At 53.7% G+C, this 26,354-nt stretch overlaps 1 protein-coding gene across 12 annotated transcripts in view, besides 4 other annotated features; it reads left to right on the top strand.

Moving 5' to 3' along the window:
- The window catches only part of NADK (NAD kinase), a 29,283-nt gene that overhangs the window by 1,055 nt on the left and 1,874 nt on the right, over positions 1-26,354 (top strand). For 2 of the 12 annotated variants that reach the window (XM_047428631.1, NM_001353641.2), the window contains 10 exons: positions 14,014-14,232; positions 17,425-17,508; positions 22,150-22,279; positions 22,852-22,957; positions 23,117-23,202; positions 23,984-24,086; positions 24,762-24,916; positions 25,077-25,176; positions 25,252-25,409; positions 25,811-25,893. In XM_047428631.1, the coding sequence (XP_047284587.1) occupies positions 14,054-14,232; positions 17,425-17,508; positions 22,150-22,279; positions 22,852-22,957; positions 23,117-23,202; positions 23,984-24,086; positions 24,762-24,916; positions 25,077-25,176; positions 25,252-25,409; positions 25,811-25,893 (1,184 nt within the window). In that variant the 5' untranslated portion in view covers positions 14,014-14,053. Of the gene's footprint in view, positions 1-643; positions 715-989; positions 1,172-14,013; positions 14,233-17,424; positions 17,570-19,557; positions 19,727-20,216; positions 20,360-20,817; positions 21,096-21,325; positions 21,403-22,149; positions 22,354-22,577; positions 22,682-22,802; positions 22,958-23,116; positions 23,203-23,983; positions 24,087-24,761; positions 24,917-25,076; positions 25,177-25,251; positions 25,410-25,810; positions 25,894-26,354 lie in introns of those variants that run through there. The other 10 variants (XM_047428656.1, NM_001198994.2, NM_001198993.2 and 7 more) reach the window with 10 other exon arrangements.
- Positions 275-1,474: a silencer, noted in NCBI's record as "silent region_90". NCBI's record gives its function as "represses an Ori minimal core promoter by ATAC-STARR-seq in GM12878 lymphoblastoid cells {active_cell/tissue: GM12878}" and the evidence as "EXISTENCE:reporter gene assay evidence [ECO:0000049][PMID:35858748]".
- Positions 4,851-5,352: an enhancer, noted in NCBI's record as "H3K4me1 hESC enhancer chr1:1705547-1706048 (GRCh37/hg19 assembly coordinates)". NCBI's record gives its function as "activates a minimal SCP1, AML or CMV promoter by ChIP-STARR-seq in naive H9 embryonic stem cells {active_cell/tissue: H9 hESC(naive)}" and the evidence as "EXISTENCE:reporter gene assay evidence [ECO:0000049][PMID:30033119]".
- Positions 18,509-19,466: an enhancer, noted in NCBI's record as "H3K27ac-H3K4me1 hESC enhancer chr1:1691433-1692390 (GRCh37/hg19 assembly coordinates)". NCBI's record gives its function as "activates a minimal SCP1, AML or CMV promoter by ChIP-STARR-seq in primed H9 embryonic stem cells {active_cell/tissue: H9 hESC(primed)}" and the evidence as "EXISTENCE:reporter gene assay evidence [ECO:0000049][PMID:30033119]".
- Positions 25,807-26,336: an enhancer, noted in NCBI's record as "H3K4me1 hESC enhancer chr1:1684563-1685092 (GRCh37/hg19 assembly coordinates)". NCBI's record gives its function as "activates a minimal SCP1, AML or CMV promoter by ChIP-STARR-seq in primed H9 embryonic stem cells {active_cell/tissue: H9 hESC(primed)}" and the evidence as "EXISTENCE:reporter gene assay evidence [ECO:0000049][PMID:30033119]".

Genomic DNA, 26,354 nt, shown 5'->3' with positions numbered 1-26,354 from the left:
AGGTTAGAGCAGCTGGTCGTGCATTGCCAGTTTACCTGACAGTGACTCGAGAGCTGAGAACTGGGTATAGGGCACATTATTGGGATATTTGAGGCCTGAAGGCGCTGATGAGCAGCCACCAGTTCAGCAAGTGCGGGCTGGGTGGGACCCGCAGTTCCAACAAACACTACAAAGTCCGCTCCTGTGGCTTTGGCCTCCTCCCCCAACTCCCCGAGTCCTCCAGCCTGTGGGGTGCGCAAAACACGGCTCCCTGGTCCCCCTAGAGGTGCCCCAGGCCACCGGGTCCTCCCTCCACTGCCAGCCTTGGGATCCCAAGCGTAGACCTCTGAGGACGTTCGTGGGCGTGCAAGGCGCACCTGGCCGCTAGAGGTGGGCGTGAGGCCGATCGCGGTTCCCCCAGGCGCAGGGCCGCCCTCCCAGCCCCGACGGACAGCCCCGAGGGAGCGCAGCGCTGCCGCAGCTGCTCTAAGTTTCGGTTCCCAAATCCGGCTCGGCCCACACCGTGTCACAGCCCGGTAATTAGGGAAGCGGCGGCGGGCGGGGCCAGCTCTCGCGGGGCACCTGCACTCCCCTGAGCCGGCCCACGTGGTCCGGGAGGTCCCGCCCGCGGTGGCGGTGAGTTGGGGGCGGGACGCCGGGCTGGGATCACAATGTCGGGGGCGCCTAGGCGTAGACGTGGCGGGCGGACCCGGGGGCGCCCTCCGGACGCGGCAGGTGAGTGGGGACGGGAGCCGGGGGCCGCCCTCCTCGGGGCGCCGACCCCCGCCTACCCGAGTCGCGGACGCCCGCCCCTGTCCCCGCTGCCCGCCTCCACTCCCTGGTCACTGCTCTCCACCGCGATTCGCCCCTCTTCCCCACCGCCCGCCTCTTTCCCGCCACGCCCGCCGCCTCCCGCCCGCGCGGGGTGTCCCGGCGCCGGTGGGACCCGGCAGACGCGCGGGACGCCCCACGTGCGCGGCAGCGCGCATGCGTGGCGGGTGCGCCTGCGCAGTGGGCGGGCGCGGCGCATTGCTGCTCGGCGGCGCCGGCGCCGGGGTCCGGGCGGCCATGGGGCAACAGGCGGCCAGGGCGCCAAGGGCCAGGTAGCGACGGCTGGCGGCGGCGCGGCGGCGGGGCCTGCGGGCTCGGTCCGGCATGTAGACGCCCCCGCAGGCGCCCGCGGCAGCGAACGGTGAGTGAGCAGACCCGGCCTGCCGTCCGCCTGGGGTCGCCCGCTGCCTGGGGTCATCGCTGCCCGCGAGCGCGCGGCCAGGCGGGGAGACACCAGGCCGGCCCTGCCCATCTGGCCTGCTGAGGAGGCCGTGGAAGTGCTGACGGGCCACCGCTCCGTCCCGAATGGGGCACCAGCACGGCCCAGGGCGAGGCTCGGCCTTGGGGACGGGTCTGAGGGAGGCCGCTGTCCGGCCTGGCTCTCCCGGGCGGGGAAGGTGGGGCCGTCCAGCCCGGACCGCGCTTGTCAGTCGCCTCTGCTTGGGCGGCCAGGTCCTCGGTGTCCGGCCTTCCGTGGGTGGTTTCAGCAAGCAGGAGGGGTCTTTGACTCGTGAAAGCTTAGAGGGGCCCAAACCTAGTGGGAAAGTATGAATAAAAGATTCTATACAGCAGTATTGGCATGGAATTCTCTAAAAACACATCTCTGATTTAGTGCCCAGTACTTGCCAGAAAATTCCAATAGTCTATGGTGATGTTCCTACAGGCGGCTGCCATCCAGTAGGTCAGATGTCAGCACCGGCCTTGAGCTCTAGGTCGTCGTTTTTTTTCTTAATTGTGGGAACAGGGCGTGCCCAGCTCCGAAGGCCTGGTGGAGTTTTCCTTCCCAGGCCAAGGACCACCCCCACCCTCCCATCCCTCCTCCCCAAGCAATGAGATTCCTTTTGGCTTCGATTCCGAGTAACAAGTTATTTTTCCTTTCTTGTTTTGGAACACACTAAGTTTTACATTCAAAAGTTCATTATTCTTGGCTCTTGATGGGAATACATTTCAAAACTCTTCTCTTCTTGTGTTCCATGTCTCTCTGACAGCCTTAGTTGGCCTGAAACTGACATGTTTGCCTTAATAAGTTTTTTTTTCCTCCTGATGTCATCTTGTCTAAGAAGCTAGTTACTTTAACACCTTGTTAGATAATTCCCTTCAAGTACTTATTCCCCTGAACATTGTCCTCTCAAGCCTCTGGAAATTTCCTGTCCCCTTGGAACTTCTCTGTAAGGCCTGTTTGCTCTCAGCAGTGACTTCACTGGGACTTTTGCAGCCACTTTATGGTGTTAGCACGCTGATTCCAAGCTACTTGAGGAATCACAGGTGCCACCGCAGTACCCAACAAAATAGCTTCATCATTTGGAGGTGTCCTCTCGAGATGTTTCTGTGTGTATATGTGTGTGTATGTTAGAAACAGGGCCTCACTCTGTCCTCCAGGCGTGTTTATGGTGGCATGATTATAGCTCACTGTAACCTCAAATTCCTGGGCTCAATTGATCCTCCCACCTCAGCCTCCTGAGTAGCTGGGATTACAGGCCTGCACCACCACACCTAGCTGATTTATAAAATTTTTTGTAGAGATAGAGTCTCACTGTGTTGTCCAGGCTAGTCTCAACCTCCTGGCCTCAAGAGATCCTCCTGCCTCCACTTCCCAAAGTGCTGATCTTACAGACGTAAGCCACTTTGACCAGTCTTTTTTTTTTTTTTTTTTTTTTAAGACAGAGTCTAGCTCTGTTGCCCAGGCTGGAGTGCAGTGGCACAATCTCGGCTCACTGCAACCTCCACCTCCCGGGTTCAAGTGATTTTCCTGCCTCAGCCTCCTGAGTAGCTGGGATTACAGGCGCCCACCACCACGCTCAGCTAATTTTTGTATTTTTAGTAGAGACGGGTTTCACTGTGTTGGCCAGGCTTGTCTCGAACTCCTGACCTCGTGATCAGCCCACCTTGGCCTCCCAAAGTGCTGGGATTACAGGTGTGAGCCACCACAGCTTGCCTCACTTGGACCAGTCTTTTTGTTTGTTTGTTTCATTTGAACTTGGAGGTGGGTTTATGTTGTTTCAGTTGGCAGCCTGCTGTTTGGTTCCAAAACAGCATTTTCTTCTTGAAACAACTGCTGTCAGCAGTTAGATTTCCAGGCTAGCACAAAAACCTGTTTGACTCATAAATCCTTGTAGTGAGGGTGTCCCAGAAAGTTGGCCAAGTCAAGAGCAGTTCTTGTGGAGTGGAGGCGGTGAACAAATAGGGGGAAAGTGGCGCTCGTGATGAAAACGGAAAACAATAGTTGATTTTATTGAGCTTCACGCTTGAGGAAATGTAGGTCTCACTTGGAAAATTAAGAGGCAGGTGGGTGTTTGCGGGACTCGACGGCCTTGCATCTGGATTACCTCCAGTCTGCAGGTGTGGTAGGATGACAGCAAGAGGGAGTGTTGAGCACACAAGCCCAGCACTTGGGGGGAGGCTGTGTCATGGCAGGAAGGTACAGGGCCTCCTCCAGCAGCTCCACTTTCTAGTCCGTATATACCTGTTGACAGTCACCGCCCAGCTTCAGCCGTTCTGGACAAGTGGGTGTCAGTAATGCTTTAGCTTGTAACCCCAGGATTTCATTTCTACTCTCTGTGCTGGTGGCTTATCATTTGCAATCTTTCCTGGCCCACAATTGCAAAGGTCCTAGCATTCATGCATGGGAATGGGGAAGTGAATAAAATGTGTGTGTGTGCTTCAGACAGATGGTGAAAAGTGTTCAGAGAAAAAGCGAAATTGAGGCAGATGGGATGTGAGGATGCCACGCACACTTTGTGCAACTGAAGAGGGAGGTGATGCCTGGCCTTCCCATTCAGAACTGCCCAGACCCCTGTTTTCTTCATCTGCCCCTAAGTAGGTGGAGCCACATCTAAAGAAAGCCCCCTTCAGACCTGTAATCTGCTTAGGTTTAATGAGGTCACAGGGTGAAGCCCTGTGGTCACATGGCTGTAGCACTTTCCAGAAAGTCTTTCTCAGTTTGTATACTGCCAGTGTGCATGCCAGCACTGGGCATTATTTACCGGGGTGAGATGAGATGGGTAATTTAGTGGGCAGTAAGTTTTTTCCCACTCAGGGTTGAGGTTGAATGTTTCCCCATTTCTGTCACTAAATAAATTTTCCTTTTTCATTTAGTCTTGCAACAAATATTGATTGAGTTCTTACATGGGAACGAACTCGTGTATTATGTTTGTATTTGTGTGTGTGTGACTTTTGTTCATGTTCTTTGCACATTTATTTATTGGCATCTTAATGTTTTCCTTGCTACTTTGTATAAGTTCGTTATGAATATTTTCTTATTGTGCTCTAGTATTTTTTTCTAATAAAACTTCCTAATACAGAGGATTTTTTTTTTTTCTTTGAGGCGGAGTCTCACTCTGTCCCCCAGGCTGGAGGGCAGTGGCGTGATCTCAGCTCACTGCAACCTCTGCCGCCTGGGTTCAAGCGATTCTCCTGCCTCGGCCTCCTGAGTAGCTGGGATGACAGGCGCCTGCCACCGCGCCCAGCTAATTTTTTTTGTATTTTTAGTAGAGACGGAGTTTCACCATCTTGGCCAGGCTGGTGTTGAACTCCTGATGTCGTGATCTGCCCGCCTCGGCCTCCCAAAATGCTGGGATTACAGTCGTGAGCCACCATGCCCGCCCTACAAAGGTTTTTTAAAATTAGATTCATGCTATGAGGAATTTGAATGCACTTTGGTGCAGCTAGCATTGTGTGTCCTTTTAAAGCAGTTAATATATCAAACAAATGAATTAAGTGTCAGTCCTGACTCACCCTTGTCAAAAAATACAGTGGTGACCGCGCACGGTGGCCACGCCTGCAATCCCAGCACTGTGGGAGGCCGAGGCACAATGGTGGCCGCGCGCAGTGGCCACGCCCGTAATCCCAGCACTGTGGGAGGCCGAGGCATAATGGTGGCCGTGCGCGGTGGCGACGCCTGCAATCCCAGCACTTTGGGAGGCCAAGGCGGGCGGATCATCTGAGGTTGAGAGTTTGAGACCAGCCTGACCAACATGGAGAAACCCCTCCATGTTGGAGAATTAAGAGGCAGGTCTCCACTAAAAATACAAAATTAGCTGGGCGTGGTGGCGCACACCTGTAGTCCCAGCTACTTGGGAAGCTGAGGCAGGAGAATTGCTTGAACCTGGGAGGCAGAGTTTGCGGTGAGCCGAGATCGCGCCACTGCACTCCAGCCTGGACAACATCAGCGAAGCTCCATCTCAAAAAAACAAAAAATACACTGGTTGTGGTATTGGAGATACTTGTTAAATATATATATATGTGTGTGTGTGTGTGTATATATATACACACACACACATACATAGGTGAAGATAATTGTTTAAAGTTGGTTTTAATATTTAATATTATTTTATAAATTAGTTTACTGCTTAGTCATCAAATTGATCTTCGCAAATAAATATGAACAGAGCTTCTAGGCTGGGTGCAGTGGCTCATGCCTGTAATCCCAATGCTTTGGGAGGTCAACACAGGAGGGCCACCAGAGCCCAGGAGTTCAAGGTCAGCCCGTTCAAGGTAGCGAGACCCTGTCTCTACAAAAAATTTAAAAATTAGCTGGACATAGTGGCTCATGCCTGTAGTCTCAGCTACATGGGAGGATCCCTTAAGCCTGGGAGATTGAGGCTGCAGTAAGCTGTAATTGCACCACTGCACTCCAGCTTAGGTGACAGAGCAAGACCCTACCTCTCAGTCTCTCAATATCTCTATTTCTCTCTCTCTCTCACACACACACACACACACACACACACACACACACACACACACACACACACACAAAATAGAGCTTCTAGGTAATGTAGCAGTAATAATACATTTTTTTTAACATTTTGTGATTTTGATTTGTTTATTTTTTATTAATGTTTTTGTAGAGACGGGGTCTTGCTGTGTTGCCCAGGCTGGTCTCCAATTCCTGGCTTCAGGTGATTCCCCTGCTTCGGCCTCCCAAAGTGCTGGGATTACAAGTGTGAGCCACTGTGTCTGACCTTTATTAACTGTTTATTTTGAAATAATTGGCTGGGTGCGGTGGCTCACACCTGTAATCCCAGCACTTTGGGAGGCCGAGGCGGGCGGATCACCTGAGGTCAGGAGTTTGAGGACCAACCTGGTCAACATGGTGAAACCCCATCTCTACTTAAAATACAAAAATTAGCCGGGTGTGGCGGCGGGCACCTGTAATCCCAGCTACTCAGGAGGCTGAGGCAGGAGAATTGCTTGAACCCTGGAGGCAGATGTTGCAGTGAGCCAAGATTGCGCCATTGCACTCCAACATGGGGGACAAGAGCGAGACTTCGTCTGGGGAAAAAAAAAATAATCATAGACTAATTCATAGGAAGTTGTAAAAATAGTACAGAGAGACCCCTGTGCCCTTCACCAGCTCCCTCTGTGTTAACATCTTTTTTTTTTTTTTTTTGAGATGGAGTTTGGCTCTTGTTGCCCAGGCTGGAGTGCAATGGCGTGATCTCAGCTCACCGCAACCTCCCCCTCCCAGGTTCAAGTGATTCTCCTGCCTCAGCCTCCCGAGTGGCTGGGATTACAGGCATGCGCCACCACGCCGGGCTGATTTTTTGTATTTTTAGTAGAAACGCGGTTTCTGCATGTTGGTCAGGCTGGTCTCAAACTCCTGACCTCAGGTGATCCGCCCGCCTTGGCCTCCGAAAGTGCTGGGATTACAGGCATGAGCCACCATGCCCGGCCCTTGTGTTAACATCTTACACCTCCATACACCTCCATAGTACAATATCAAAACCAGGGAATTGAAATACTGCTAACTAAACTATAGACCTTATTCAGGTTTCACCAGTTTTACATGTGTGTATGGCTCTATGCAGTGTTACCTCTTAAATTAATTATATAACCACTAGCAAGACACAGAACTGGTCTTGAACTCCTGGACTCAAGCGATCCTCCCGCCTCGGCCTCCCAAAGTGCTGGGATTACAGGCACAAGCCACCACACCCAACTGTATTTTAATTTTCTTAACAGTGTTTTGGCTAGGCACAGTGGCTCATGCCTGTAATCCAAGCACATTATGATGCTGAGGCAGAGAGATTGCTTGAGCCCAGGAGTTCGAGGTCAGCCTGGGCAACATGGCAAAACCTCATCTCTACAAAAAAATACAAAAATTAGTCAGGCATGGTGGTGCATGCTTGTAGTCCCTGGTACTCAGGAGGCTGAGGTGGGAAGATTGTCTGAGCACAGTAGGTAGAGGCTACAGTGAACCATGATTACATCACTGTACTCCAGCCTGGGGACAGAGTAAGACCCTGCCTAAAACAGGAAAAAAAAAAAAAATTCAGGGTTCCATTAAGTATAAAAGATTTTAAACACCACTAAGACTTTTTCCAGCTGGGTGAGGTGGCTCACGCCTGTAATCCCAACACTTTGGAAGGCCAAGGTGGGAGGATCACTTGAGACCAGGAGTTTGAAACCAGCCTGTGCAACATAGGGAGACCCCATCTCCACCAAAAAAAAAAAAAAATTTCCAGGTGTGGTGGTGCATGCCTGTAATCCCAGCTACTTGGGAGGCTGAAGTGGGAGGATTGCTTGAGCCTGGAAGGTTGAGGCTGCAGTGAGCTGAGATCACACCACTGTACTCCAGCCTGGGCAACAGTGGGAGATCCTGTCTCACAAAAAGACAAAAAAAAAAAAATTTCCAGTGCTTTCTTCTAAAAAGTTTCATAGTTTTAGTCCTCACATTTAGGTCTATAATCCATTCTGAGTTAATATTTGTATGTAGTATGAGGAAGTGGTTGGGCTTCGTTCTTTTAGACGTGGCTGTCCAGTTGTTCAGAACTATTAGGTGAAAAGATGATCCTCCTCATGTTGAATCACCTCAGCACCTGTCAAAAATTCATGGACTGCATGTGTGTGAGGGTCTGTGGCGTCTACCTTTGGGCTGGCCGTCCTGTTTCCTTGATGTGTATGTCCGTCTTGATGCTGCCACGCTGTCTGGTTCCCGTAGTTTTTCAACAAGTCATGAACTTAGCCCTTCGCGTTTGTTCTTGTTCAAAGTTTTTTCAGCTGGTCTAGATACTTTACATTTTCATGTGAATTTTATCAGCTTGTCCTTTCCTTTAGAGAAGCCTGCTTGGCTTTTGATGGTTGTGTTTGGGTAACATTTGCAGATCAATTTGATGAGAACTAAGATCTCAATATTGAGTCCTCCAATCCATGAACATGGTATGTCTCTCCATTTATTTAGGTTTCCTTTCATCTCTGTCAGCAATATTTTGTAGTTTTCAGTGTGCAGTTCTGACATGTCTTTTGCCAAATATATCCCCACATATTTTATATTTTTAATGCTATTATAGATCATATATATGTATATATATTTTAATAAGATATATATTTTTAATAATATATGTGTGTGTGTGTGTATATATATATATATATATATTTTTTTTTTTTTTATAAGATGAAATCTCACTCTTGTTACCAAGGCTGCAGTGCAATCTCGGCTTACTGCAACCTCCACCTCTCAGGTTCAAGTGATTCTCCTGCCTCAGCCTCCCAAATAGCTGGGATTACAGGCATGTGCTACCATGCCTGCCTAATTTTTTATATTTAGTAGAGACAGGGTTTCACCATGTTGGTCAGGCTAGTCACAAACTCCTGACCTCAGGTGATCCCCACCCACCTCGGCCTCCCAGTGTTGGGATTACAGGCGTGAGCCACCACACCCAGCTGTAAATTATATTGTTGTTATTATTATTATTATTTTGAGACAGAGTCTCTCTCTGTCACCCAGGCTGGGGTGCAGTGGTGCGATCTCCGCTCACTGCAAGCTCTGCCTCCTGGGTTCACACCATTCTCCTGCCTCAGCCTCTTGAGTAGCTGGGACTACAGGCACCCGCCACCATGCCCGGCTAATTTTTTGTATTTTTAGTAGAGACAGAGTTTCACCATGTTAGCCAGGATGGTCTCAATTTCCTGTTGTCTATTGCTAGTATATAGAAATACAGGCGATTTTTGTGTATTGAATTTGCCTTCTGAAACCTTGCTAATAAACTCACTTATTTGTTTTTCTACATAGAAATGTCATGTCATCTGCAAGTACAACTTCACTTGTTCCTTTTCTTATTTTGTTTAACAGACCTACATTTCATGCCAAACCTTTTCTGTCACTGTACCTTTTATTTTTTTCTTATGTTATTGCACTGGCTGTGGCCTCTAGTATAGTCCTCAATAGGAGTAGTTATACCAGACATGTTTTTGTAGGTTCTGGTTTTCATTGAATTTTTCATGGTTTTTTTTTCTTTTTTTCTTTTTTCTTTTTATTGAGGCAGAGTCTCACTCTGTCACCCAGGCTGGAGTGAGTGGTGCGATCTCGGCTCACTGCACCCTCCACCTCATAGGTTCCAGCAATTCTCCTGTTCTCCTTCCTCAGCCTCCTGCATAGCTGGAGTTACAGGTGCCCACCACCACTCCAGGCTAATTTTTTTGTTTTTGTTTTTGTTTTTGTTTTTGTTTTTGTTTTTGTTTTGAGTGCTGGGATTACAGGCAAGAGCCACTGCTCCCAGCCCTTTTTTTGTATTTTTAGTAGAGACAGGGTTTCACTGTGTTGGTCAGGCTGGTCTCAAACTCCTGACCTCAAATGATCCACCCACCTCGGCTTCCCAAAATGCTGGGATTACAGGTGTGAGCCACCGTGTCTGGCCGAATTTTTCATGTATTTGAATAAAACACTGGTATGTCTTTTTTCTTTTTTTTTTTTTCTTTTCATTTGAGATGGAGTCTTGCTCTGTCGCCCAGGTTAGAGTGCAGTGGCACGATCTCAGCTCACTGCAGCCTCTGCCTCCCAGGTTCAAGGAATTCTCATGCCTCACCCTCTCCAGCAGCTGGAATTACAGGCACGCGCCACCACACGCGGCTAGTTTGTTTTTTGTTTTTTGTTTTTTTTTTGAGACGGAGTCTCGCTCTGTTGCCCAAGCTGGAGTGCCATGGCGCGATATCGGCTCGCTGCAAGCACCGCCTCCTGGGTTCACGCCATTCTCCTGCCTCAGCCTCCTGAGTAGCTGGGAGTGTAGGCGCCCACCACCACGCCCGGCTAATTGTTTTTTGTATTTTTAGTAGAGACGGGGTTTCGCCATGTTGGCCAGGCTGGTCACAAACATCTGACCTCAGGTGATCTGCCCGCTTCGGCCTTCCAAAGTGCTGGGATTACTGGCGTGAACCACCGCACCCAGCCTGTACTTTTAGTCGAGACAGGGTTTCATCATGTTGGCCAGGCTGGTCTTGAACTCCTGGCCTGAAGTGATCCGCCCACCTTGGTCTCCCAAAGCACTGGGATTACAGGCGTGAGCCACCACATCCCGCCTGGTATGTCTTAAGCTAGGGAGATATTGACCCACTGGGACAGTACTGTCAATTCTCGCTAAACATTAGAATCTTCTGGGGAGCTCTTTTAAAGTGCCGGTGCCTGGGCTGTACCTTCAGGTTCTGATCATTCAGTCTGGAGGGCACGTAGGAATTGGTGTTGTTTGAAGCTCCTAAGGTGATTGTAGAATGCAGCCAGAGAGAGAACCAGCTTTTGGGTATTCAGAGAACCCGTTGGCTTTGACCGTAGCATAGGGCCCACAGTCTTGTGTCCATAGTTCCTGAACTTTCCTTCTGCCCACCTTGCCATCATCTCACATATTTTAGTTGTTTTATTTAGGCTGCTGTAACAAAGTGCCACAGGCATGGGGCAGGGGGCGGGTAAACAACAAAAATGTTTGTTCTCAGAGCTCTGGAGGCCAAGAGTCCAAGGTCAGGGTCCCAGCTAATTTGGTTCATCGTAAAGACTCTCTTTCTCACTGTAATGGCCATCTTCTCTGTGTCCCCACATGGCTTTACTTTTGTGCCCAGTGAGGGTGGGAACAGAGGTGAGGAGAGAGCTCTCTGGTGTTCTGTTTTGTTTTTGAGACAGGGTCTCTATTGCCTAGGCTGGAGTGCAACAGCACAATCACAGTTCACTGCAAAACCTCAAACTCCTGGGCTCATTGATCCTCTTGCCGGAGCCTCCAAGTACCTGGGACTGCAGGCATGCACCACTGTGTCCAACTGTTTTTGTTTTGGTTTTGTTTTTGTTTTTGTTTTGTAGAGACAGAATCCTGCTATGTTGCCCAGGCTGTTCCTGAACTCCTGGCCTCAAGTGATCCTCTTACCTCAGCCTCCCAAAGCCCTGGGATTACATGAGTGAGCCACCGTGCCTAGCCTGGTGTCTCTTCTTACAAGGATGCTCATTCTGTCTGATCAGACCCCACACTTATGACCTCATTTTTTCTTTTTTTTTTTTTTTTGAGACGGAGTTTTGCTCTTGTGGCCCAGGCTGGAGTGCAGTGGCACAATCTCGGCTCACTGCAACCTCTGCCTCCTGGGTTCAAGCATTTCTCCTGCCTCAGCGTCCCAAGTAGCTAGGATTACAGGCGCCCGCCACCACGCCCGGCTAATTTTTGTATTTTTTAGGGACAGAGTTTCACTATGTTGGTCAGGCTGGTCTTGAGCTCCTGACCTCAGATGATCTGCCCGCCTCAGCCTCCCACAGTGTTAGGATTACAGATGTGTGCCACCGCGCCCATTTAACTCCTTTCTTAGAGGCCCACCTCCATATTCAGCCACACTGGAAGTTAGGGCTTCAATGTAGGAATTTGGGGGGATTGCTGGGTGGAGTGGCTCACACCTATAGTCCAAGCACTTTGGGAAGCCAAGGCAGGAGGATCACCTGAGCCCAGGAGTTTGAGACCAGCCTAGGCAACACAGAGAGACCTTGTCTCTACAAAATAAAAATAAAAAATAAATTTGGGGAGGACACATTCAGTCCATAATGTCACATTTATCCTTTTTAATGCCAGAATCTACCTTGTCCTCATTAAGATTTATCTTCTTTAATGAGAAGGTATGTTTGGCTTTATTTTGTGTGTTTAGCCTCTGTTGAGTGATTTTTATTGTTTCTGTGCACGGCCCCTCTTCTGTTCTTCTGAAGCTTGTTTTATTCTATTTCTGGCTTTATTGGCTTGAATGCTCAGTTCATGGTTTCCCATGGGCTGTGACCCAGCTTTGATGGGATTGAACCGACCCTGGCAGCCTGTTTATGTCACCTCCAGCTTCTGGGTGTTCCAGATGTTGGGTCTGATCTTCACTTTGATCCCTGGGTTGCTTAAGAGAAAGTTCAGAAACTTCCAAGTGGCTGAGGGCTTTTCTTTGTTTCTATCTCTTCCTGGTTTTATTGTATTGTGGTCAGAAGATGAGGTTCTAGGCTGGGCGTGGTGGCTTACGCCTGTAATCCCAGCACTTCGGGATGCTGAGGCGGGCAGATCATTTGAGGTCAAGAGTTGGAGACCAGCCTGGCCAACATGGTGAAACCCCATCTCTACTAAAAATTCAAAAAAATTAGCTGAGCGTGGTGGCGCACGCCTGTAGTCCCAGCTGCTAGGGAGGCTGAAGCAGGAAAATCACTTGAACCCGGGAAGCAGACGTTGCAGTGAGCTGCGATCACACCACTGCACTCCAGCGTGGGCGACAGAGTGAGACTCTGTCTCAAAAAAAAAAAGATGAGGTTCTAGGCCAGGCATGGTGGCTCATGCCTATAATCCTAGCACTGTGTTGGGAGGCTGAGTTGGGAGGATCACTTGAGGCCAGGAATTGAAGACCAGCCTGGGCAACAGAGCAAGACACCCTGTCTCTACCAAAGGAAAAAAAATTAGCTGGACGTGGTGCTGTACTCCTGTAGTCCCAGCTACTTGGAAGGCTGAGGTGGGATCCTGTCTCAAAAAAAAAAAAAGAAAAAGAAAAAGGGGAAAAAAGGGTGAGGTTTTCTATCCTCACCAGTTTTCTTTGAGGCTTAATATTGGTCAGTTTGGTAAATATTTCATTGGCGCTGAATTCACGATGCAAGGCATGGAGTTCACAACATATCTGCTGGTTCAATTTTATTTGACAGCTTTTCTGGACTAGGGTATTTGAAATTGCACACTTTCTCTCTCATTAATGTGTTGTATTGTTTACGAGAAAAGAGCCTGTCTTTTTTTTTTTTTTTTTTTTTTTTTTTTTTTTTTTTTTTTGAGACGGAGTTTCTTTCGTTCTTGTTGCCCAGGCTGGAGTGCAGTGGCACAATCTCAGCTCACCACAACCTCCGCTTCCCGGGTTCAAGCGATTCTCCTGCCTCAACCTCCCAAGTAGCTGGGATTACAGACATGCGCAACCACGCCCAGCTAATTTTGTAATTTTAATAGAGATGGGGGTTTCTCCATGTTGGTCAGGCTGGTCTCAAACTCCCGACCTCAGGTGAGCCACCGCACCTGGCCAGAGTCTTTCTTTTCTTAAGACAGGGTCTCGCTCATGGGCTACCATGCCCGGCTAATTTTTTTTTTGCTAGAGAAGAGTTCTTTGTTGCCCAGAGTGGTCTTGAACCCCTGGCCTCAACTGATCCTTTCTCTCCAGCCTCCCAAAGTGCTGGGATTACAGGCATGAGCCACCACACCTGGCCACACAGTGTGACTTTCTATTTTGTTCTTTTTTGAAACAATTTTTTTTGTTAATATTATTTTACAGAAAAAATTTTGAGATGAAGTTTCACTCTAGTCACCCAGGCTGGAGTGCAATGGCATGATCTCGACTTACTGCAGCCTCCACCTCCTGGGTTCAAGCGATTCTCCTGCCTCAGTCTACCGAGTAGCTAGGACTACAGGCGCCCACCACAGCTAATTTTTGTATTTTTAGTAGAGACGGGATTTCACCATATTGGTCAGGCGAGGCTGGTTTCGAACTCCTGGCCTCAAGTGATCTGCCCGCCTCTACCTCCCAAAGTGCTGGGATGACAGGCGTGAGCCACGGCACCCAGCCAAAAACCTAGAGTAGTTCTTAAATATCTTTGCAATGGAAACAGTCTGTTTTCAAAGTACTTTGGTAAATTGGACTTCAGCCATTTTTTCCCCTTGATGAAATGGAACATATGTATGTGTAAATTATTATTGTTTCATACATATTTATTTACTTTATTTACATTATTTATTTTATTAAATTAAGGCATCAGTGTTTTTCTGACCGAAGTTCTCATTTCCTGACAATGGAAATGGAACAAGAAAAAATGACCATGAATAAGGAATTGAGTCCAGACGCGGCTGCTTACTGCTGCTCGGCCTGCCACGGCGATGAGACCTGGAGTTACAACCACCCCATCCGGGGCCGGGCCAAGTCTCGCAGCCTGTCTGCCTCGCCCGCCCTGGGGAGCACCAAGGAGTTCAGGTACAACTGGGAGGGATGGTTCCTCTTTTTTTTCTCGTCTGATTTCATAATATTCTTTCTTAAAACGATTATGAAGAATTCTCCTGAGTAGTCTGCGTCGATGCATCCGGAAGGTGAGGCTGGGTCCTTGCCCAGGTGAAGCTGTGCCCTTGAAGGGGGATCCTGGCCCATGGACACCTGCCTGGCGCACGTTCCCAGGTGCCAGCACAGGCACAGGGTGCCACCGTGTTTCTCTATCTGTCTGTATCAGCACAGAACCATCTAACTGGCGCCTACGCTGACCCTTGATGTTAGACTGAAGCGCACTTGGAGAGGAAACTTTTTTTTGAGACTGAGTCTCGCTCTGTCCCCCAAGCTGGAGTGCAGTGGCGCAATCTTGGCTCACTGCAACCTCCGCCTCCCAGGTTCAAGTGATTCTCCTGCCTCATCCTCCCAAGAAGCTGGGATTACAGGCGTGCACCACCATGCCCGGCTAATTTTTGTATTTTTGTAGAGACGGGGTTTCACCATGTTGGCCAGGCTGGTCTTGAACCCCTGACGTCAGGTGATCTGCCCGTCTCAGCCTCCCAAAGTGCTGGGATTACCGGTGCAAGCCACTGTGCCTGGCCTGGAAACATTTGCTCTACAGAAGTCACTGGGGTGTGAGGGGACATCCCTCTTGGCTCTGCTTGTTTTGAGAGGCGAAGGCTGGGGGGTTCTGCACTGTGAGCAGGGCTGGTGGAGGCAGAGTTATGAGCGTGGCCTTGGGCGGGCCCAGCCCTCTCACATGTTGGGCAAGTGGCTCCCTCCTGTGCCAAGAGTGCCCACAGCGCTCACCCTTGCACAATGCTGCTTGGGCAACAGCGCCCCGGGCTTTGCATGACGGTGGCCGCACAAGCACAGCTGTGATGGTGCCTGGGGATGGTGCTCTCGGTTCTGGTGATGGTAAATGTGGTGAGTTTTAGGTGGAAGCTTGCCAGAGCCGGCGCTGCCTAACAAGGATCACGACTATCAAATGCAAGGGGGGCTTTTTGGTGAAAAGTAGTCTTAGAAAGCATGTTGTCTTACCCAGTGAGATGGGAGAGCCTGTAGCGCCTCTGACGTGGTGGCAGCCGTGGAGAAACAGGCTACTCCCACGTTTTCTGTCTACAGAGTCGCTGCCTGAGCCAGGAGGCTACGAGCGCTGGTGGCTGCCTTCATCCCGCAGGCACCACGTCACCACTCAGCCTTTCTCAGATGCCTCGTTGCCTCGTTGTCAGTGGGGGTCGTTGTCCTGTACCTCCAGGCCACCCCAGCGCAGTGACTGCGTGAACAGAATTGCTTTGGGGTTTTATTTTTTTTTCCTGTGGGTTCTTTGGCATAATGCACCATTTCTGTTGCATTCTGAACCTGATGACAGCAGCCCTGGGTCAGAGGTCGCCTCCATAGTGAGTGACAGGCGCCTTCAGGGTGAGGTGGGGGAGGAGGTAGCCAAATACGCCCAAGCATAGCCTGTCCTTGGGAAGGAAACATTAAATCCCAACACCCACTTCGAGAAACATTGTTTTCCGCAATAATCTTTTCAGTTCGTAAGTAAGTAAAATTCTTTTGTAATGTACTTCGTTTTCTTCTTCTTTTTTTTTTTTTTTTTGAGATGGAGTCTTGCTCTGTCGCCCAGGCTGGAGTGCAGTGGTGTGATCTAGGCTCACTGCAAGCTCTGCCTCCCGAGTTCAAGTGATTCTCCTGCCTCAGCCTCCTGAGTAGCTGGGATTACAGGCATATGCCACCACGCCTGTCTAATTTTTGTATTTTTAGTAGAGATGGGATTTCACCATGTTGGCCAGGCTGGTCTCGAACACCTGACTTGAGGTGATCCGCCCACCTCAGCCTCCCAAAGTGCTGGGATTACAGGCGTGAGCCACAACGCCCGGCTAATTTTTTGTATTTTTGTGTAGAGACAGGGTTTCACCGTGTTAGCCAGGATGGTCTCAATCTCCTGCCTCGTGATCCGCCTGCCTTGGCCTCCCAAAGTGCTGGGATTACAGGCGTGAGTCACTGCACCCGGCCTGTACTTACCAATTTTTAAAAGGCTGAGGTAAACAAGTCCGTGACCACTGATGGCCACGCCTGTGTCACCTGTGGAGCAGCCCTCAGGGCACCACGGCTCTCCTGGGGTTGTCTGGCCCTGCGAGGCAGCGGAAGGCCGTTCTTCTGCATTGGGACTTGAGGATTTTGTTGGGCCGTTGCCTGGCCAGCTGTGTGCAAGTTTTCTGAGTTTGTGAAGGGACTGGGAGGCTCCCGGGCACCTAGGACGAGGGCAGCCTCAGTGCTGGACCCTGAGGAGCACAGCGGTCCTGACAGCATTCTCCCCAGGACGCGTGCGGCTGCCACAGCCCCTGGCTGGGTGATTTAACTGTGACCTGGCCATGTTTAAATCACTAGGAAAGTTGTTGAGCCGTTCATCTGGCGTCTTTTATTCATTCATTCATTCATTCATTCATTCATTCATTTTGAGACAGAGTTTCACTTTTTTCAGCCAGGCTGGAGTACAGTGGCTCGATCTCGGCTCACTGCAACCACCACCTCCTGGGTTCAAGCAGTTCTCTTGCCTCAGCCTCCTGAGTAGCTCGGACTGCAGGCACACGCCACCAGGCCTGGCTAATTTTTCTTTTTTTAGTAAGGATGGGGGTTTCACCATGTTGGCCAGGCTGGTCTCAAACTCCTGACCTCACGTGATCCACCCACCTCAGCCTCCTGAAGTGCTGAGATTACAAGTGTGAGCCACTGCGCCCGGCCTACGTCTTTTTTATTGACATGAGTTCAGAGTGAACATTTGTGCTAGAATTTTAATCTAGACGATTTAGAGATGAGATGTTGTCTCAGGTTTTGAGTCCCAAATGCAGATCTAGAGAGGGGTCCTGGAGACACTGAGGAATTCTGATCCCAGGCTGGCCCTGGCCCTGGCATTTTCCTTGTTTGGGCTGAAGCTCTCCCCGGCTTGGGTCATGATCTGAGCGGCGCGTGGGCATGCGTGCTCCTCACAGGTGCCGCTCCAGTGCAGCCATGGACCTGGGCAGAACCTTCCAAGGGCTATTGTGTGGCTGCTGGGCAGATGGAGTTGGCATCTTTCAAATTGCATGTATGCCTTACCGTGTAACCTCCTCTGTATCTGTGTCTGTCACTGCATGTCTGGTTTCAGGCCCTGGTGGCTCTGACACTGCCCTCTCCCCACAGGAGGACACGCTCTCTTCATGGGCCATGCCCGGTGACCACTTTTGGACCAAAGGCCTGTGTGCTGCAGAACCCCCAGACCATCATGTGAGTGCTGGGGCCCCAGGACGGGGGGTTCTTGGAAGGGAGAGAACCCCTAGACCATCATGTGAGTGCCGGGGGCCATGGGATGGGGGAGTCCTCGGGATGTGTGTGGAGTTGTGGGATCGCTGTGTTGAGGAAGATTCTAGCACTTCATGTGAGAAGTACATGTTTAGGTCATTTAAACAAAAAGCCACATGGGCGTCCTCCCTGAACCCCCTGAGTGCAGGCATCCGAGCGGGGGCTCCCCAGCTGTGGCTTTTCCAGTGGCTTTGAGAAAGTGGACGGCAGGCGAGCCGGGGCCTGGAGACCGGGTCACAGCCCGTGGGTGTGGCGGCTTCCACATGAGATCCTCAGGGCTGCCTTTTTGTTTCTTTAAGAGTGAGTGAGAATTCTGGGGTGGGTTGCGTTTGCTATTTGATGGTTCAGTTTGTCAACACATTCTGCCTGGAGGCCCGTCATAGTGTCATGGGAAAAACGCAACAGTGATCGATCTGATATCTGTGTTTTATGTGTAAAGAATTATAATCCAGGCTGGGCGCAGTGGCTCACACCTGCAGTCCCAGCACTGTGGGAGTCCGAAGCAGGCAGATCACTTGGGCCCAGGAGTTTGAGACCAGCCCGGGCAACATGGTGAAAGCCCATCCCTACAAAAAACACAAAAATTGGTCAGCTGCGGTGGCTCACACCTGTAATCCCAGCACTTTGGGAGGCCAAGGGGGGCGGATCACGAGGTCAGGAGTTCAAGACCAGCCTGGCCAATATGGTGAAACCCCATCTCTACTAAAAGTACAAAAATTAGCCAAGCATGGTGGCGCGTGCCTATAATCCCAGCTACTTGGGAGGCTGAGACAGAGAACTGCTTGAACCCGGGAGGCAGATGTTGCAGTAAGCCGAAGATCGCACCATTGCACTCCAGCCTGGGCGACAGAGCAAGACTCAGACTCAGAAAAATACAAAAATTAGCAGGCATCGTTGCACACACCTGTAGTCCCAGTTGCCAAGGAGGCTGGGGCGGGAGGATCACCTGAACCTGGGAGGTTGAGATTGCAGGGAGCTGTGATTATCAAAGTGCATTCCGCCTGGGCGACAGAGCAAGACTGTCTCCAGAGAAAAAAGTGAGCTCCCAGCCAGCCCTGAGAGTCGTATTCTGCACCTGGTAGACATCCTCATTGCCTCTTCCCCAGAGAAGCCTTTGCTTCTGGGACTGGTGCCTCAGCTCTCAGGCCTCTGTGCAGAACGGGCTCTCTTCCTCTGTGCAGAACGGGCTCTCTTCAGGGCCTCCTCCTTCACGGAGTCATGGATGCTTCACTTTCTGCAAGGGAGGACCATGCGGAAGGGCCGAGTGTTCCAGCGCGCAGGCTGCTGGGGACTGTTGACCAGAAAGCGCAATGCGGCCGTGTGATACGGGGGCGGCCACTGCATGGCCCTTTGCTGACAGGCACCGGTGCCATGGAGGCTGGGGGCGCACAGCAGGGACGGAGGCCCCAGCCCTGGGCTGTCACCGAAGTTCAGGTCCCAGGAGCCACGGGGGAGTCATCCGAGGAGCTGCTCTGCAAAGTGTGGGCCCCGCGGCAGCGTGCGTCCCAGGCAGGACGGGGGTTGGCCTTGCTGCTCCAGACGCTGACGGAGCCCCTTAGGATGGAAGTGACTCGCACTTGTGCTTTTGAGGCCCAGCCCTTTCAGTGCCACTGGTTCCCGGAGTGTCTGTGACCTGTCACTGCTGCCAAATGCCTGAGGCGGGGGGCCCGACCCCTGTTTGCTTTCCCTCATCCAGTCCATCTGCAGATTCTGTCACTTTGATCCCAAAATATCCAAGCAGCTCCCCTGCACTATTGCCCGGCTGCCCTCCGCTGTGTGGACTCCTGACCACTCGCCGCGGCCTCACCATCCCTTCCCTGCACAGCAGCCACGTGGGTGACCCAGAGTGCTCCACTGCCCTCCCGGCCCCGCCGTGGCTCTGTCCCGCCATCCTGTGCTTGCTGTGTCCCTGGCACCCCACCGGGCCTCTCCCCCGCTGCCTGGTGCCCTCCCTGCACTTCCTGGTCCTGGCAGAGCCACTCCTTTGTCACTCGCATCTCAGCTGCTGCCTTCACCAGCCGTCAGTCACTCGGGCCAGGGCGGGGTCACCGGACAGGTGCATGTTCTGCCTCAGCCCTCAGACCAGGGCGTACTCAGTGGTCCCCGAGCTGCCCGAGGCCAGACAGCCCCGCAGGAGGAAGCGGTGGGTTTGTGGGGCAGCCTTGAGGGGCATGCAGCTTTCTCGGCACCCCCATGGGAGCACGCCCCCTCTGGGCTCTGTGTCTCTGGGATCATAACCTCCCGCTTCCCATCCCCGCTGTGGAGGGGCAGGGCTTCCCATGCATCTGAACTTCCGTCTTCCCTGATAGTCCAGAGCAAGACCCTGTGGGGGCGCCTGGTGAGGAGGGCACCCGCTTCCTGTTTTGTTGTCCAGGGAATTGGTGGGCCTGTGTTGTGGAGGTGCGTGAGTGCCCGTGTGTCACAGTGTGCGTGGCCACCCATGTGTGAGACAGTCTCAGTAGGAGCTGGCCAGGCGGGCCAGGCTGTGGCCATGCTGGCTTCACGCCACCCCCTGCCCTCTCCGTGCAGTACCCACAGCCGTGTGTGCCTGCAAGCTTCACGCCACCCCCTGCCCTCTCCGTGCAGTACCCACAGCCGTGCGTGCCTGCAAGGGCTGGTGTCCTGCTTTGCAGGTGACCCAGGAAGAGGTCGAGGCGCTGGTTTGTGGTCACACACAGCGGTGGGTGCCTGGGCCGGTGTACGACGCCGCTGCTGGTGGCTCTGGCTGGGCTCAGCTGAGCCTCAGGGCTGGAATGGGTGTAGGCCAGGCCACTGGGTCAGTGGTGACTGTTGGCGGGGAGAGCAGGGGGAGCCGTGTGCAGGGCGGGGGCTTTGCTGGCTGACCAGGCCGGAGGACCGTGAGCCACCTGCACGCCCTTGGGCCGGAGCCAAGCAGAGTGACGCAGCGGGCTAGGAGGCAGGGAACGCCCTTCCACCTGACTGTGGCCTGAGGGTGCCTTCCCTGGGGCCCAGCCGGTTCCGCGGGCCAGAGCGGTGGCTGGCGCAGTGCTGGGGCGAGGCTGGAGGCTGGGTACTTGGCCAGGTCTGAGGCCACGGGAACAGAGGGCTTGGTCCCACCCGGCTCAGTTAGGAGCAGGGAGCTGAAGTGTGGCCTCTTTGCTGCTGAACTGAGGACTTTTTTTCAGAAGGGATTAGGCAGGAGGACCATGTGACCAATGAGGAAACTGTTTTGTTTTGTTTGATTTTTATAAGTGTAGGAAGCTCTTTTGACTTAGTTGCTTTTACAACAACTTTACCAAGTCTCATCACAATTGTGTTTTGCTTTGAGTTTTGAGTATGAAGAGCTTAGGCTTCTAGTGTGGGCGCACAGTCAGGACCATACCGATGGGGCGGCCGCGTGTTCGCCAAGCGTGGCCTGGATGCTGTGGACACACTGGCCGGCTCCCAGCAGGCAGGGGCTACCTCGCGAGCCACATGTGTGACCCGGCAGGTGCTGAGCTCATAGGGGATGGCATGAGTGACCCCACGCCTCCCAGTAATGCCTGCACAGGGTGAGTGCTGACCAGCTTCCGAAGGTCACAAGCGATGGGCTAAGGTCTGTGGCCCTGTGGCTGCCATCGGCGTCTGTGTTGTGGTTCTGGGGGTGTTAGTGGGACGGTCACACTCCTGGGGAAGTCACTGCTGGGAAGAGGCATGGCAGGCAGCAGCTTTCTCGATTGGGCAACTTGGAACTAGCTGGCTGGCGCGGTGGTATAAGAACTTGTCCTTTGGGGCTGAGGATAGGCGGTGAGCGCTGACGACGGTGGCCAGCCCCGCTGCGCCCTCCCTTGGCTTCTGGGAACAGGAGCAGGCTCCGTGGTGTGTGTTCCCGGTTCTGGGCTGGGATGTTTTCTGTGACTAACGTGGTAATGGGAATCCCACCGGGGTGGGCCCTGCCTGTGGAGAAACACCGGGCACAGTGGTCGGGGTCAGAGCCAGCAAAGCGCGGGTGGCTGTGTCAGGGCTGCCACGGACTTTTAAACCTGTGATTTTTACTGTGAGAGTGAGTGAGGTTAAAGTCCGTTCATGCAGGGAGGTAGTGAGCTGTGTGCAGGGGGGGAAGCGGGTCCTTGAGGGGTCCTGGGCTCCCGTGGGGCCAGAAACTGTGTGCAGAGGATCCTAGGGACAGAGTCACCATGTCAACTGGTTTGGGTTTTCGTGGGGGCCTGAGGAGGGCATCAAGCAAAGAGTGGCCCAGCCATGGGCTTTCGTGGTCATTTCTGCCCCACCAGCGTCACTGAGGAGCCAGGCAGGCAAGTGGCCGGGGGCTGGGAAGGGCTGTGGTGCGTGCACTTGGGTCAGCGTGGTGCCCGGGTGGGGGTTGTGGGCCTGAGCCTGCGTGTGATGGGCCAAGCAGGTGAGAGGTGGTCACTCCGGACCCTACTGACCCCTGACCCTGTCTCTGTGGCGCGACCCTAGGCCCTGTGAGCCCGTGGCCACCGAGCACGTTTCCCTGGGAGGTGAAAACACCTTTTTAAAGATTTTTTTTTTTATTTTCTAAGTCATACACCTTTTCCGCAAGAGGGAGATCGCAGCTGGTGTGAACTCTTTTCTCCTCCCCTAAAGGCACATTCAGGACCCCGCGAGCCAGCGGCTGACGTGGAACAAGTCCCCAAAGAGCGTCCTTGTCATCAAGAAGATGAGAGATGCCAGCCTACTGCAGCCGTTCAAGGAGCTCTGCACGCACCTCATGGAGGCACGCGGGGCAGGGGGGAAGGGGGCCTGGGGTGCACATGGAGTTGGGGGGGCCTCCATCCACATCACCGCCCCGTGAGACCATGGGAACCACCTCAAGTGCTGGGCAACGGCTGCTTGTCTGGAACTGGGGACTGAGTGGGGATCTGCCGGGTGTCTGGGTTTGTGTGTGCCGCCATGGCAAGCACCAGACTGGGTGACCAACAATGAGCTGGTGGGCTCGTGGCCCTGGAGGCCGGGAAGTCCGAGATCAAGGGGCCACATCTGACGTGGGCCTTCCTGCTGTGTCTTCTCTTCAGAAGAGCAGGCGTGGGGGTTGCGGCGCCCAGGAAAGCCACTCCTGAAATAACAGCCTTAGTCAATTCCTGAGAGGGAGCCCCCTCCGCCCAGTCATCTCTTAAAGGTCCTGCTTCCTCCTGGCGCGTTGGTGATGAAGTTTCAGCGTGAGCGTGGGGGGGCGGGCATGCAGGCCACGATGCCAGGTCTCTGACCACAGCGCCCGTGAGTCGGGAACCTCCCTGCAGGAGGGTGGGGTCTGCAGGTGGAATGAGCAGGTTGGCACTTTGCTTCCAGGAGAACATGATCGTGTATGTGGAAAAGAAAGTGCTAGAAGACCCTGCCATCGCCAGCGATGAAAGCTTTGGGGCAGTGAAGAAGAAATTCTGTACCTTTCGAGAAGGTGGGCTGTCAGCAGCTCTGTCCTTGGTTTCTCCAGCACAGTTCCCCGCCCCATTGGAAGCTTCTGGCACTGTTGCCCTTGTCATTGGTGTCTGCGCACTGCGCCACAGAGGGGCCACTGTGTGACAGCCTCTTCTTGGTTTTGCTTTGTGTTTCCTAGATTATGATGACATTTCCAATCAGATAGACTTCATCATCTGCCTGGGGGGAGACGGGACGCTGCTGTACGCTTCCTCGCTTTTCCAGGTGAAGCGCTGACATTTCCAGACCCACACCAGGTTCTAGTCTAGGTGCTGCGTAACGAGGGGCTCACAAGCATGGCTTCCATTGCTTTTCACCCCTTTATACGAGAGCAGTCACCTAGAGCGGCCAGCACTGAGGCCCATGGTGGCAGCCCGGTGGGGTGCGACGGTGGGGCCAGGGGCAGTGTGGACACAGTGCTACGGCTGGGGGTGGCCAGCGCCCGCCTGGGACAGCAGGGAGTGGCGCAGGGTGGTGGGTCCTGGGAAACGACCTCGCCTACTGGCCCATCCCCTCTGGGCCTCCCTTGAGCTCCTCTTCCTGGTTTCTCAGCAGCACAGCTCTCCCCTGGGGCTGTAGGGCCACGCTGTGTGGGGGACCCTGGCTCTGCCCTTGGCCCACTGCATGTTGGTGACACCGGAAATGCCCGCAGCCCGCCCTGCTTTTCTCCCCATCTCCCCATTAGCACCTGTGGGGCGCGAGGCTCCGACCCCAAGGCTGCCTCCCACCCGCCCTCGCCAGCTCCCCCAGCCCTCCGTGCCCAGGGGGCCGCTCAGCCCTGCCACCTTTGTTCCTCACCAGCTCCCCACACCAACCTTGGCCCTGGTGGCCCGGCCCACCCTGGCCTGCGACGTCCCCCTCCGCTTGTCCACATGGCCAGTCCCTCCTGCAGAGGGTCGGGGTGCTGTCCCCACAGAGCTGGGTCCCTCCTGAGGTGCTGCTGGAAAGCTGGGTGGTGCGGGGGTGCACGGCGTGGGCACTGAGTGACCTCTCCGTCGGCTCACAGGGCAGCGTCCCTCCGGTCATGGCCTTCCACCTGGGCTCCCTGGGCTTCCTGACCCCATTCAGCTTTGAGAACTTTCAGTCCCAAGTTACTCAGGTGATAGAGGGTGAGTTGGAATGTTCTGGAGCCCACAGGAGCTCTGATCATGGCGCTGCTGTCTCGCTTGCTTGCGGGGGGTTTATTTTCATTTAATGATGCATGGAGCAACATTTAAAGGTTTCAAGATTCAGGGATTTCTAAATCTTGAGTGGTTCAAACCTTTTACTGACACTGAGAAGTTTCAGCAGATCACAGGTTGAAGCTGCCATGTGTGTTGGGCAGAAGTGAGCTGATTCTCACTCTCAGAAGGCACAGAAGTGTCGGCCGGGCGCGGTGGCTCACGCCTGTCATCCCAGCACTGTGGGAGGTCGAGGCGGGCGGATCACGAGGTCAAGAGATGAGACCATCCTGGCCAACACGGTGAAACCCCGTCTCTACTAAAAATACAAAAATTAGCTGGGCGTGGTGGTGCGCACCCGTAGTTCCAGCTACTTGGGAGGCTGAGGCAGGAGAATCACTTGAACCTGGGAGGCAGAGGTTGCAGTGAGCCAAGATCACACCACTGCATTCCAGCCTGGGTGACAGAGTGAGACTCCATCTCAAAATAAAAAGAAAAAGGCACAGAAGTGTGTCAACTTGGGAGAAGAAAGAGCCCTCTGACTCCCACTGGCCTCCCTGGGGTGGGGCCCCTGACCCCACTGACTTCCCTGATGCATGCCCTCTGACTCCTGCTGGACCTCAGGGAACGCAGCTGTTGTTCTCCGGAGTCGGCTGAAGGTCAGGGTGGTGAAGGAGCTCCGGGGGAAGAAGACGGCCGTGCACAATGGGCTGGGTGAGAACGGCTCGCAGGCTGCAGGCCTGGACATGGATGTCGGGAAGCAGGCCATGCAGTACCAGGTGAGTGGAGGCGCCTCGGCCTCGGTGAGGGGCCCAGGGTGGGGCGACTTCGGTCCCAGGGATGAGGACCTTCCGGAGAGCCCGGCTGGGTGAGACGGAGGGTGTCTGCGAGCCGTGCGGCATCCCCCGCCCTGAGTGTGCAATGCTGTCGCCCCTCCAGGTCCTGAATGAGGTGGTGATTGACAGAGGCCCCTCCTCCTACCTGTCCAATGTGGATGTCTACCTGGACGGACACCTCATCACCACGGTGCAGGGCGACGGTAAGGCCCGCAGCACTGTCCTGGGGCCCTGAGCGTCCCTCGGGCGGGAGTGACGCCTGCGCCTGTCCCTGTCAGGAGTGATCGTGTCCACCCCGACGGGCAGCACGGCGTATGCGGCCGCGGCCGGGGCCTCCATGATCCACCCCAACGTGCCGGCCATCATGATCACGCCCATCTGCCCCCACTCGCTGTCCTTCCGGCCCATCGTGGTCCCCGCAGGGGTCGAGCTGAAGGTCAGAGCCAACGACACTCCTTTTCCGGTTTGTGAGTCATTTGACCCCGTGCAACACAAAGCCGGGACCTAGCACCCCGCTCTGCCATGCTGGCTCCAGCCTCAGACGCGGCCTCGTCATCCTAGGGCCATCCTGTGCCCCCTCAGATGCAAGCCTTCCCTTGCTGGTGCCCGAGTTCTGTCCATCAAGGTGCCCAGGGCCCGGGTCTGAGGGGCTTTCTGCCATTGTTGGTCTCTGGCGGTGCTGAGCTGGGCCGGTGCCTGTAGGACGTGCACTGCACCGTCCGCAAGGCAGGGTCAGAGCTGCCCAACCTTCGACCTCTGGCGAGCACTCAGGGGTGGGTGCCTAGAAGCGTCCTCCCCACAGCTGGGGGCCCACACCTCTCCCTGCTTGACCCTCAGATCATGCTGTCACCTGAAGCAAGGAACACAGCATGGGTGTCCTTTGATGGACGGAAGAGACAAGAGATCCGCCATGGAGACAGGTGTGGGCTGCATGCCGGGCTGGGCGCTGCCTGCCAACCTCCTCCCCGGGCCAGGCAGCGCCTGCCCTCTTGCGGTTGGCCTGTAGACACAGCTTGTCCCCTAGGGCACCACAGGGCCTGAGTCCCTGGGTCTTGCAGCATCACAGTCGGGGCACCCGTCCTGGGGGCAGCGGGTCGCATACGGTGGCACATGCAGGCCTGGCCCCAGCAGAGGCCTGAGGGTGTCCCCCCTGGCACTGCTGCCCACCCCCACCCACCTCCTGGGACCTCACCCCTGAGGGCCCTGGGGCAGAGTTTGTCAGTTCCCTGCACCGTCCCCTCCAGGACCTGGGATGGCTCTGTCCCAGCACCCATGGGGCACTGCTCAAGCCTGCCTCGGGGAGGGGCTGCCCGGCCCCACAGGAAAAGAGTCCCGGCCATTCCCAGGGAGGGAGGGAGGAAGGGTTCTTGGCCGGGGGTGG

Source organism: Homo sapiens, chromosome 1 (assembly GCF_000001405.40).
Source record: "Homo sapiens chromosome 1, GRCh38.p14 Primary Assembly".
Lineage (NCBI taxonomy): Eukaryota > Metazoa > Chordata > Mammalia > Primates > Hominidae > Homo > Homo sapiens.
The sequence above is the reverse complement of the archived record's forward strand: the minus strand, read 5'-3'. Positions and strand labels throughout refer to the sequence as shown.